Source organism: Homo sapiens, chromosome 17 (genome assembly GCF_000001405.40).
Source record: "Homo sapiens chromosome 17, GRCh38.p14 Primary Assembly".
In the NCBI taxonomy this organism is placed as follows: Eukaryota; Metazoa; Chordata; class Mammalia; order Primates; family Hominidae; genus Homo; species Homo sapiens.
Window position 1 is genome coordinate 52,861,741 of NC_000017.11, and position 13,541 is coordinate 52,875,281.

Consider the following 13,541-nt stretch of genomic DNA (forward strand, 5'->3'; position numbering starts at 1 on the left):
TCTCCTCTGTTTTGTATTCAGCTCACCTTTCTAATTGCTAACCTGGTAGTCAACAGTGGCCCCAAAGTCACCAAAGGTGAGAGGTGAAGCCAGCTGGACTTCCTGGGTTGGGTGAGGACTTGGAGAACTTTTCTGTCTAGCTAAAGGATTGTAAATGCACCAATCAGCACTCTGTGTCTAGCTAAAGATTTGTAAACGCACCAATCAGCACTCTGTAAAAACGGACCAATCAGCACTCTGTAAAATGGACCAATTGGCACTCTGTAAAATGGACCAATCAGCACTCTGTAAAATGGACCAATCAGCAGTATGAGGGTGGGGCCAAATAAGGAAATAAAAGCTGGCCACCCAAACTGGTAGAGGCAACTGCGCTCAGGTCTCCTTCCGGTGTGTGGGTTGTTTGTTCTTTTGCTCTTCGCAGTAAATTTTGCTGGTGCTCAGTCCTTGGGTCTGCACTACCTTTATGAGCTGTAAGACTGACTGTGCAGGTCTGCGGCTTCATTTCTGAAGTCAGCAAGACCATGAACCCACCAGAAGGAAGAAACAAACTCTGGACACATCTGAACATCTGAAGGAAAAAATTCCGGACACACCATCTTTAAGAACTGTGACACTCACCGCAAGGGTCTGTGGCTTCATTCTTGAAGCAATGAGACGAAGAACCCACCAGAAGGAACCAATTCCGGACACATTTTGGCGACCACAAAGGGAAAATCGACTATCACCAAGCGGTGAGTACCATCGGACCTCTTTGGCTTGCTATTGTGTCATAATTTTCCTTAGAATTTGGGGGCTAAATACCAGGCACTGGTCGGCCAGTTAAAAAGCAGTCCAAAAGAAATGTAATGCAAGACACATACGCAGTTTTTGTTTTCTATAAAACACGACTTAAACGGGTAAGTGATGCTGACTAAATTAATTTTAATAACACATTTTAACTCATTATATACAAAATATTGTTTTATCGTGTAATTAATATAAGAAATGAGATATTCTATGTTTTTCATAGGTCTTTAAAATGCGGTGCGTCTTGTTCACTCACAGCACGTCTCAATTTAGACTACCTGCATTTTGCATGCTCAGTTACCACCTGTGCCTAGTAGCTAATGTATTAGACAGTGCTAGAGTAGTTAATAACTAAAGAGTAGTTATTAAGTAATATTGCTTAAACAATTTGTATCTTACATATAAATAAACAAAATACTAGAATTATAAATTCATCCCAACTTGTCGTAACAGAAAACATCAACCATAAAATTTTGCTTAGTTTGAAAATACTACTTTCTTTGAGGTTCGACTTAGGCTACAAAAAACAAGAAGGAAGAGAAAACAAGACAGTAACATTTATTTACTGAACCATGACTATAATGGAGTTCTAGGCACATTCCATTCCATGCTTATGGCAATCCCATGGTGCAGTTACTGCTGTGTTCCCATTTTATAGCTAGGGAAACTGGGTTTTAATAAGGTTTTGTAATTTGCTGAGATCACACACCTAGCAAGATTTGGGGCAGCTGGAATTCTAAACTTACGTCTGATTAACTGTAATTCTCAGAGAATTTCCTCTGTGACATCAGTGAAAAAAATCATTTTGTATAGACCAGAATAGGAAAAAAGGAAAAGAAAAAGTAGAAATATTTATTTATTTATTTTATTTTAACTTTCATTGTAAGTTCAGGACTATGTGTGTAGATTTGTTATGTAGGTAAACCTGTGACTTGGGGGTTTGTTGTATAGATTATTTCATTAATTTTAGATTGAGCAAATGATAGTGATAAATCAGGAGACAGAGCATAAAGCCTTTTCTTTTACATCACTTTGAGGTTCCCCTCAGTTTCACAGAATATTTTTTCGCCTAAAATTTTCTTCAGGCCATGTTTGTGTGTGCAGGAACATCTCTAATTATGGAATTTACTCTATGTTAAATTTAGAATGGCTTAATGGATGGCTCTCTCTAAAGCTTGTTACTGTTTACCTAAGGTCATCACAATATTAATGGCTTTTTAGAAAGGAAACTGTGTAAGACTACTAATAAGCACCATGTTTTATGCATATTTTATGCCAGTCACTTAAAATTTATAATTTATGTTGCTAGAACATTTATTCAATATTGATAGCTTATTTTATGCCACTTCTAGTTGGTATTAGAAATGTATTAAATGGCTAAAATGCGTGTGCCCTTTCTATCAATATGCACTTAATGTTAATGCTTTCTAAAACACTTTCGGAGTAATAATAACCACCTTCCATTCAAAATCATTTATAATACCCCTTACCATTAGCTGAAAATTCATCAAATGCAATATGTTAATTCATCAACATTATTGTACAACGTATACTGAGAAGAAATAATGTGACGGTGTGCTCCACAAATTAAAATTGTGACTTTAGGATTGGATATTATTTCTATCCTCTAATACCAAGTTGGTGAGCCAGGGACCAGTAGGAGTACAATTTGCGCTGTTACTTGAATCCTTTATCTTTTGGTGAACGCACCACTGTCACAACAACAAATAGCGTGACATTGTTTTTTCCCCAAATGGTAGATGCTTTGATGAAAGTTAATCATGGAAAAAGATGAAATAAACTGCTTAGAAGTATGTATTAAGTTATCCCCAAACATAGAAAACCATAAAGAAGTCTTAAGTATAAGCAACAAAATGGCTATGAACTTGTGAAACAAAAGGGAACATGATGTAGCCACAGTGTGAAGTAGAGGCAGGGTGTCCAAAGAGGATGTTATTTGAGCTGGGCCTTGAAAAGTAAATTACTTAATGGATGAGTGCAAAAAAGCCATCGAGTAAGAGAAAATAGTATGTATATGAAAAAATAATAGGCTGATTTGACCAAGAATGAAAACTCTTAAATCCATTTAAAAGGTAAAGGAGAGGGAAGGAAACTAGGGATAAAGCTGGATACTTAGGTTGTTACCCAAAAGAAAATAATTTTGTGTGCTTCACTAGGCATTTATTCTATTGGCAAGGGGATGAAATTTGTAGTTTTAAAATATGTGACTAACATGCTGAGAGCTGTGTGTTTGTATTTATGATAACTGATGATGTGGACCACAATGTGTTGGAGGGAGGACAGATCAAATGCAATAACGCAGTGAGGAATGGTCAGGTATAAATGAGATGTACTTCATGATACGTGTGATGTAGACATACATATCATGATCCAGCTATTAGCCTCTTTCATATGGAGTCATACAAACATTACTTTGGATATATAAATCAATTTCAGTTAGGTGGGTTAGGGAAAATAAGGTCCATTTATTTTTTGTCTAAACAATGCTCATTGTTCTTTATAATGTTGGTGACAATGACAAAAATGAGAAATGTAAAGAACACAGTATATTTGTGTGTAGGATAAACTGCTTATGCTGAGAGCAGCTAGATTTCTATGCCACTGTTGACATTTTATTTATCACAATCCTGCCTAAACACGAATCCACTTTGAATTAATTGCTTCCAAAACTATATATTTAAATGTTGAAGCTGTAGTGAAACAATTAACTATGTGATCATTTATCATATCATGCTTTAATGCCAATAGGACATTATGAGCAATGAGTATTTATCAATGTTCTAATTGTAGCTGAGTAGCGGTGTACCGCTGTTTATTGTTATTTTTAAACAGTTGATTTTAACACCCGGCACCCTACAATTGTCCGGTTAATGTGTTCTGCTTTGGGATCAGGCTGAAATTGAAAGGCCAAAAATTCAAGATAATTCCACGATAAACAGCTTTGTGATCAAAAGTTAGGGTGATATGAAACTTCAACCTGCCATAAATACAGGACAGGTTTTCTTAATCTCCACATCATTGAAACATTGGCATGGATAATTCCTTTCTGGGAGGAGTTTCGTGTCCATTCTAGGATGTTTAGTAGCATCTTTGGCTTCTACCCAGTGGATGCCTGTAGCACTCTCTTATAATTGTGACAATCAAAATGTCTCCAGATATTGCCCAGTATCGCCGCCAATATTAGCTAATGTAAAGACATCGTTTAACTTGAAAGCTGCACACATGAAGTAACCCACCGTGTGTTTTACCACAAATTTTTAAATTTTTAAAGTAAGCAGTTGCAAATAAAATTATTGGAGATCCCCTAAAGTACGCTAGACAGAAAAAATCATAAACATATGGGTATATATTTTGGCTCATCAGTAAAAGTATTCAATTAATCCTTATTTCTACCCATTTTTCTGAGTCACTGGCACAATTTACTATCTTAGCGTAACCAAAAACACGTATATTTTTCTTTGTAAATCTTTTGCTAACTAAGCACATTCTATATTTTCATATTCAAATTGATTGTTACAGAATATAAATTCATATTAGTGTACAACTTCTATGCCCTCTAACTCTCCCATTTACACAGTGTTAAATAATAACTTGTTTTCCCTTCATCTGGCAGGAGGTAAGGGTTAAAGTTTGAAAATCCATGCAAGTCCAGACTTTATCCTAAGAACTTCATATAAAAGCTATAAAATCTAAATTCCCTTTTTCAAAAGTGAAAAAAATATAAATTATATTATAGAGTAATAGTGGAGTGAAGAGGAAAATAAGAACGGTCCATTAAACTTAAAAAAAAAAAAAAGGGAATGGGGACCCGATAAATAGGGAAGAAACTATGGGGAATGTGCCTTAGTGGAAACAATATCATTTTCAAATCCTAAATCTCCTGATTTCTAGTCAAACTTCTGGATAGTTTAATCAAATTTTCTAGATGTGAGTATTCTTTACTAGGGGATGCTATCACCTACTTTCAGATTTGATTCTATAATTAAAATAACAATAGCTTTGTTAGTAACTTCTATATGCCACAGTAACTTCTATATGTTCTTTAAATATTTTATTAATATTAATGACAATCCAGTGAAGTGAATATTATTATCATCTCTGTTGAACAGAATAAGAAACAGAAGAAGGAGAGTTCACACATAGATTTAAATTTAGGGCTCATGCCTGTAATCTCAGAGCAGGCGAATCTGTTGAACTTAGAAATTGGAGACCAGCCTGGGCAACATGGTGAACCCTCGTCTCTACTAAAAATTAAAAAAAAAAAAAAAAATAGCCAGGTGTGGTGGTGTGTACCTGTAGTTCCAGCTACCTGGGAGGCTGAGGTGGGAGGATCACTTGAGCCTGGGAAGGTGGAGATTGCAGTGAGCCAAGATTGTGCTGCTACACTCCAGCCTGGGTGACAGAATGAGACCCTATCTCACTAATAATAGTAATAGTAAGAAGAAGAAGAAGAATCTGACTCTAAAAGAGTAACTCCAACATTATAATATGCTTTCACAAATACCCTAAAAAGATGTCTTACGTGCAGTGGGTTAGCAATACAAAATAGCTCTCTGCCTTCAACTAAGAAAAATATGTGAAGAAAGATAAATAATAATTTACCTAAGTGCATGAAGAAACTCAGAAATAGAAGCAGGAACAGAGTACAGGCCTGCTAATAAATATAGAAACCGAATGTACTATTTCTCTCTTCCTCATTTAGCTACCTAATGTCTTGTGATTTTCCTATTTTTTTTCTACTGCTTTGAGCCCTGCCTTAGTTCACATCTTCATAAATTTTTGCTCAAGCCTGATAAAGTCTACATATTCTGCTACAAATTTCTAAAAAAAATCTGATCATGTTGATGGCCTTGCTTAAATATCCTTCAAGAGTTTCCTTTGGCTTCTGGGATAAGTCTAAATTCTTCTCTTCATTTAGCAGTATCTAGTTAAATTCAAGATTTGCATACTCTTAGAATCAGTGATTTCACACTCAGGTATACATTCTAGATAATCTCTTGCACATGTGTAGGAGATATTTGCAAAATGGTGTGCCATTGTTTGTAATAGTGTATGATCTAAATGCCATATTGTAGGACAATAAAGAGAAAAATTATTATATTCAAATAACGGAATACTATACAGTATTTCATTTTTATTTCTTAGTTGACAAATGAAAATTATATATATTTATGGTGTACAACATGTTGTTTTAAAATATGTATACATTGCAGAATGTCTATACCAAGCTAATTAACATGCATTATCTCATACATTTGTGGTGAGTACACTTAAAATCTACTCTGGTAGCAATTTTCAAGTGTACAATACATTGTTACTATATTCACTATGTTGTACGATACATCTCTTGAACTTATTTCTGCCTGGCTGAGTGAAATTTTGTATCCTTAGACCAACTTCACCCCAATCCCCTCCACCTCCCCAGCCTCTGGTAATCACCATTCCAGAGTCTGCATCAATGACTTGACTTTTTTAGATTCCACATATAAGTAATATCATGTAGTATTTGTCACTTAGCATAATGTCTTCAAGGTTCATCCATGTAGTTGCAAGTGACAGTGTTTCCATCTTTTGTAAGGCTGAATAGTATTCCATAGTGTATGTATACCACCTTTTTATACAGCATTTTAAATGAGTGTCTTATGCTTATGCCAGAATACAGACTAATTTTAAAAATAGAATAATTAAAAAAAATACAATATGATATTATATATCTTCTACAAATAAATAAAATAATGTATATTGTTTAGGATTACACTGCTCATAGAGTAATATTTGGGATAATGATTACGTGTGGTGATGAAAAGAAGGTGAATGAATAATTTTACATACAGGGAGCTTTAAGTATATTTTTAATTTATTTTTAAGCTGTTTGTCGGTTACATAGTGTTTATCATATGCTTTAGATGTTTTTGTATGCTTCAAGCACTTAATAAAAACTTAAATCATCTCTACAAAAGTAAATAACTATAAATAAGTCTGTCAAAAAGGTCCACTATTAATCTTTACATACTTTTCCAATATTATGGACACTTTATTGATCTCCAGTCATGATGAACCATGCTGCAGTTTTCCTAACATGTCATTCTCTTTTCTGTATGGCCGGTTTTACACTATAAGAACTTTCCATTCACCTTACTCCTACTAACTTGTCGAGGCTCAGCTCCGAGCTCTCAAGACTCCAGGACCCTTATTTGAAATCTTTAATTTGACTATTCTAATATCTTATGGCACCATTTCTACATTTGTGTCAGCCCTGAAACAATAGCTGTGAACTCTGCTCACACGACATAGCCAGTGGAGGTTGGCAAGGGGGCTCTGCTTCTCATTAGCCACTCAGGATCCCAGGTGATGGAGGCTACAACAGGAACTGTGCTTACCCAATCACTGCGGCAGGAAAGAATGGTGGATCATGATCTGTTTCTTAGGGCCCCTATGCAGAAGTGACCAAAATCATTTTCATTCACATTTTTTTTGAATGAAGCAACTCAAATGACCTCTGCTAACTTCAAAGGAAATGGAAAAATGCAAGCCCTACGAGATGACTAAATGGTGAGAACAGCTTTGTGTGAAATATGTAAACAGCCCTAAAGACTCCTACAGTCTATACATTTCTCATGTTGAATTGTAATGAATTATTTACTCCTCCTGTGTGGACATTTTATCTTAGTCAGCTCTGTATGTCGGCCACTGATACCATATAGACACATTTAAAAGAATATGTTTTGCCCGGGTAAGAGAAAACATCCTCTCTCAGAGAACAGGTCCCCATCTACTTCTAGATGAGTCCTTCAGAAAGTAATATCTGTGGGTGAACATTAGCATTTCATTATTGGATCATTTTTTGATCATATCCTGCTTGATTGACTGTAAGGTTATCAATCTATGAATTTTCAGAGCTGACCACATTTAGCTCAGTCTTCCCACAAAAGAAGGGGGAACTCAGCTCCTACTCACTTTTATGTACCTGACAGACATTTGCTGAAAAGTGACAAATCAGCCCAGCCTATTGCAGTGGTCTGTCATTAAAGGATAGGAAAGCCAGTTTCTTCAGTTTCCGAGGCACAGCTATTCACTATAAAAATCCACACTTAAAAGGTTTTTCTAAGGTGGTTGCTCATTCCAAATCATAAGGAACCATCCTCCTTGAATTGGTTTACCTATTTATCATCAAAACAATAATGTTATTAAAAATCCAATTTTTCCTAAGACTTATTATTTTCAAATCTATTTCCTTTTGTACATTTCTTTGAAAAGCGATATTTTAGCATGTTGAGAGGTGGGAAGGAATACATCATGTTTTTCCTTTTTTTATTCCTCCTTTCAAGTTATATGCATTTTTGTATTGTACTATTTTAACATTCTAGGGAATTTCTAGAATTTGGACTAAGCACTCTTGTCACAGATGATCTTGTATAGAATATCATATTAAACATAATTTGTATCTTCACTTTGAAGATTAAATGCCAATCTCATTTATGAAAATGCAACAGGAAAGTATCCTAAACTCTCAGTATTTACGAACATTTTCACATGACCTCTCTAGCAACAAATCCTGTTAGCTGTGCCTTAGAAACATAATGAGAATCAACTACTGCTCACAGTCTTCAGTGCTCCTTGTGGTTGAGGCCAACAACATCAGGACTATTTCAAGTCTCATTCCGCCTGTTCTTTCTACAGTCTTAGTGCTCCTTTAAAAATGCAGTTCAGGCCACGCGCGGTGGTTTACACCTGTAATCCCAGCACTTTGGGAGACCGAGGCAAGTGGATCATGAGGTCAGGAGTTTGAGACCATCCTGGCCAAGATGGTGAAACCCCATCTCTACTAAAAATACAAAAATTATCCGGGCGCGATGGGGGGAGCCTGTAATCCCAGCTACTCAGGAGGCTGAGGCAGGAGAATTGCTTGAACCCGGGAGGCAGAGGTTGCAGTGAGCCAAGATTGCACCACTGCACTCAAGCCTGGGCAACAGAGCAAGACTCCGTCTCAAAAGAAAAAGCAGTTTATTAAGATCACAGTCAGGAACAGAAAACCAAATACCATGTGTTTCTACCTATAAGTGGGAGGAAAACGTTGAGTACACATACACATAAGATGTAAACAACAGACACTGGGGATTACTAGAGGGGGAAAGAAGAGAGGAAGGCGTGGACTAAAAAACTACCTATTGGGTAGTATGCTCACTACCTGGGTGATGGGATCATGGGTAGGTACCCCAAACCTCAGCATCAGGCAATACACCATGTAACAGACCTGCACATGTACCCGTGAATCTGAAATAAAAGTTGAAATTATTTTTTTAAAAAAAGATTACAGTCACATGAATTCTCTGCTTAAAATCCCTCTGCATGGCAATAGGGTCCTCCATTACTGAGCTTCTGGCTAAATTCCCCACCTCCCAACATTCTCCTGCCCTTACTTCGCTTTCTTGTTTTGCATTCAGTGCAGCTTTGACTTTCGTGTCAGGGTGTTTGTAGCTGTTTTCCCTACCTAGGTCACTTTCCCCCTTATAGCAAATAATTAATTCCCACTCTTACAGATCTTTACTCAACATTCACATTTTTCAGAGGAGACTCCTCAGATAACATTATCTGAAGTTAAAATATGACACTATCCCTTATCCAACTTTCTTTTGATTCTCTTTATTATCATCTGATATCTCACAGTTGATAAGTGAGTACACCACATATATATACATATACATACACATATAAACATAAACATTATTTGCATATTCTCAGTAAAATGAAGATTATATAAGGGAGGACTTTTTAATTTTGTTTCGTTCACCAGTACATAGAAGAGCATCAAGAACATTATAAGTGTTTAAAAATTATTTCTTGAGGCCTGGCGCAGTGGCTCACTCCTGTAATCCCAGCACTTTGGGAGGCTGAGGCAGGTGGATCACGAGTTCAGGAGATGGAGACCATCCTGGCTAACACGGTGAAACCCCGTCTCTACTAAAAATACAAAAAATTAGCTGGGCGTGGTGGTGGGTGCCTGTAGTCCCAGCTCCTCGGGAAGCTCAGGCAGGAGAATGGCGGGAACCCGGGAGGTGGAGCTTACCGTGAGCTGAGATCGCACCACTGCACTCCAACCTGGGTGACAAGGCGAGACTCCATCTCAAAAAATATATGTATATATTTCTTGAATGAATAAATGATTAGATAAACTCTTACAGAGTAGTAGATGGATCACAACTTCATTCTCAAGAAATTTCTGCAGTCTTTTGTACTGCAGTGCCTTACATTTATACCAGTTATGGCAAAGACCAAAGTTGCAAGGGTACCAGGGATATAATTTCATTAGCAATTATTTTTTATCTATTTATTTTTATGAGACAGGGTCTCTCTTTCAGTCGCCCAGCTGCAGTGCAATGGCACGATCATGGCTCACTGCAGCTTCAACCTACCCAGGCTCAGGTGATTGTCTCACCTCTGCCTCCTGAGTAGCTGGGACTGTAGGCATGTGGCACCATGCCGGGCTAATTTTTGTATTTTTTTGTGGAGATGGGGTTTTGTCATATTCTCACACTGGTCTTGAACTCCCTGAGCTCAAGTGATCCACCTGCTTTGGCCTCCCTAAGTGCTAGGATTACAGGTTTGGACCACTGCGCCTGGCCTAACAGTCTCGTTTTAATCAAACATCTCTCCTATGCTCAGGGCACCAATTGGGTTCCTTCATTTTTCTTCCTTATTTTCCTCCTCCCTTCTTCTCTTTCGATTGTACTTTTCGACCTTTTTTCCCCTTCCATTCTAATCATTCACTATGGACTTTAAAACTGTTGAGATTCTGTGGTCCAGCTCACTAAGTCCACCTTCTCAGGAATGTCGTTTCTCTCTATGTAGCACAGTGGCACTCTGAGCTGTTAGTGTAGCATGAACATGGGTTGTAGCCTAAAATGCTGCTACCTCACCACTGTGAGAAAGATTGTATCCCACGTTTCATCAATACTTTTGAAACTGTGAAAGAAGATGGCGGACCAAGCTTAAGTTTTGCTTAAAACCTCTGTCAAGCAAATGCGGGCAAATCATCAGACAGCAACCACAGGAGGTGAAAATTCAGTCACTAGAGCTATAGCTGACGCATGATTCCTCCACAGCCTCTTTTGTTCTCAGACAGCACAGAGGAATTTAGCAAGAAGAAATGTCAGAGTTTGGGACAGGACCATTGGCTCTTGAATTGTGAAGCATTTAATATGCTTGATTAGGAAAACACAAGCCACACCCTATTCAGCATAATCAGTAGCTTGACCACAAGTCTCGTGTTGCAGCAGTGGGATGTAGCACAGCTGCATCCTCTTGCCCTCACTCGGAGCACCAATCCTTTCCCTGGCACCATCAAAGGTCTAGGACATGCAAAGTGGCTACATGATTTGGCTTCTAGCCCCACAACCTCAGCATCCTACCAGAATTGACTGCCTTATGCGCTTTGATGTATCTGCTTTCCATTGAGCAGGTCTCGTTTTCTAAAATATTCTCCTCTGCAGGATACAAACTTGCTTCCCGGGAGTCCAAGCTACAGGGATCAGTCTTGGGCAATTTAGTCCTTGTATCTCACTTTGTTGAGTCACTTCTTTTCTTATTTTCTCTCATCAGTTTAATTAGCTGGGGGTCATTAGAAGGCTCATCTGGCTATTAATATTGAGAGATTCCATAATGATATTTCATCATAGATCATGTATTGTTGAGCCAGTGCTCTGTGGCATCATAATCTCTAAACATACTAAGATTATCTCCATCCTATTTTTAATTTTCTAATATTGGAGTCTTTATGTTTTTATTTAACACAAATGCAAAGTTCACTATGTGGGAAGCACTCTTTTAAGTGCTTTATAGTTATTAACTCATTTATTTCTGATAACAATTCTATGATGTAAGTACTATTATCACTCTCATTTTACAAATGAGAAAACTGAGACCCAGAGAGCTGAAGCAAGTTCCCCATGGTTCCACCACTAATAAGTTTATAAATTGAGCTGATCCATTCTAACCTTAGTCTTTTGCCTACCATTTTATCAATATTTTATTAATAAGTTCTTTTCCCAATAAATCTAGAAATGTGTTTCCAAGAAATACATTTAATTGTAGTAATTTTCTTATATTTCAAGAAGTATAAATTTTCAAGGAAGTCCACCATAGACAATCATGATGCTTGTCTTCAATTCCTCATGTTTGGTGACCTTACATATAGATTCCCAGATTCAGAAAAAGAATTTTATTTTCCCAATACAACTATAGAGATATATGTAACTACAGAAAGATGTAAAGAAATGTTTGCTCCAACATGGGTTCACAGGTAAGGAGGGAAGACAAAATACTGGAAAAGATATCTACAAGAAATTCCTCAAAATTAAATTTTCCTCTTAGTTTTCCCAGAGTACTGACCACTTGGAACAATAAGCCTACACATTGTTTTGGAGGAACATGAAGATTTTACTGGCATAGTAATATCATGTGGTTTTTAAAAAACTCTTTTTTAGAATATGATATCTTAAGAATATTTGCTAAAATTTATTAACTTACAAATTTGATATTAATATCTACTGTTGCTGTGTAGGCTTTCTCAAATATGAAATTCATTTAGTATTTCTGTAAAGAAATCCTTGCATATACTAACCTTTAATTCATTTTTAATTAATTTATCTTCCAGCTGGTAGACTATGGCAGACATGGTTCTTAGGCTCCCAGTGGGTCTTGGGCATTTTAACTTGAATACTCTGAGGTTGGTCTTTTTACCTAATTTCTCAGTGTATTAGGCCTTTACCTTCTTTCACTTAAGAATGCTCAATTTTCTTGCTAATGCACTAAATCTCCCTGAACAACCACCCCCTATATAATTTCAAAGATTGCTTTATCTTCTCCCCTCTGTTGCATTTTGATAAAAGGTGGGTTTTTTTCTGAGCTGACTTCAAACTAAAGAAAATATATTTTATTTCTCTAGAGTCATTAATTCTTTGGTAGAATATATTTTGAAATCCTAATATGTATTACACATGATTTAGTTGCTTTACCTTCTTTGGCAAAGCCTATATCTGAAATGAAAAGGCACACCCACACTAAAGATGAAGGACTGCAAGATGCTTGAAATCACAGGTCAGAATCACCTCTGCTAACATACTTCTGCCCCTATTCGCATACTCTTCTTCAAATTAAGTATGTCAGGCAAGAAAGTGCACTGAATAAATGTTAATTGTTATAACAAATGTTAAGCTGCCCTACAGTGTTAAGAACATACTGCTCTGTAGATTCTCCACTAGTTTATTTTAGAATGAACATCTCAGGGATAGTCACAGTATTTTGTCCACAGTGGTAAACCCATACACAGTCTGATAAATAATAAGTGCTAATTTTTATCATAAAAATAAATGATAATTTCAAATATGAATGATTATGTCAAAGAACAAAATATACATAGGCAAACCTAGATTTATATTTCATTTTTTCTCAGTGAGCATAGTTTTAATAATAAGTCATCCATCAGCATTTACTAAGTGTCAGAGTTTGGGCTAGATATTGGTATACATGGTATCTAATTTACTATATAAAATAACAGTGTATGCCAGGTAGTATAATATTTATTTAAAAACTTTGTTGAAACTTTGTTTGTTGCCCAAGTGGGGGTAAAGCTAAATTTTAAATACTGATCTCTCGAGCTTGATTCCTATTCTCTTTGCATTTTCCCCAGTTACCTAAAGAATATTAAATAAAAAGAAACTTTGTTCCGGAAATCT

General features: G+C 36.5%; 1 long non-coding RNA gene across 1 annotated transcript in view; it reads left to right on the forward strand.

Annotated features, from left to right (window-relative positions):
- Positions 1-380: 380 nt before the first annotated feature.
- Positions 381-13,541, forward strand: part of LINC02089 (long intergenic non-protein coding RNA 2089) — a 37,468-nt gene continuing 24,307 nt past the window's right edge. The window contains exon 1 of the long non-coding RNA NR_146899.1: positions 381-731. This is a non-coding gene — a long non-coding RNA (long intergenic non-protein coding RNA 2089). The remainder of the gene's footprint in view (positions 732-13,541) is intronic.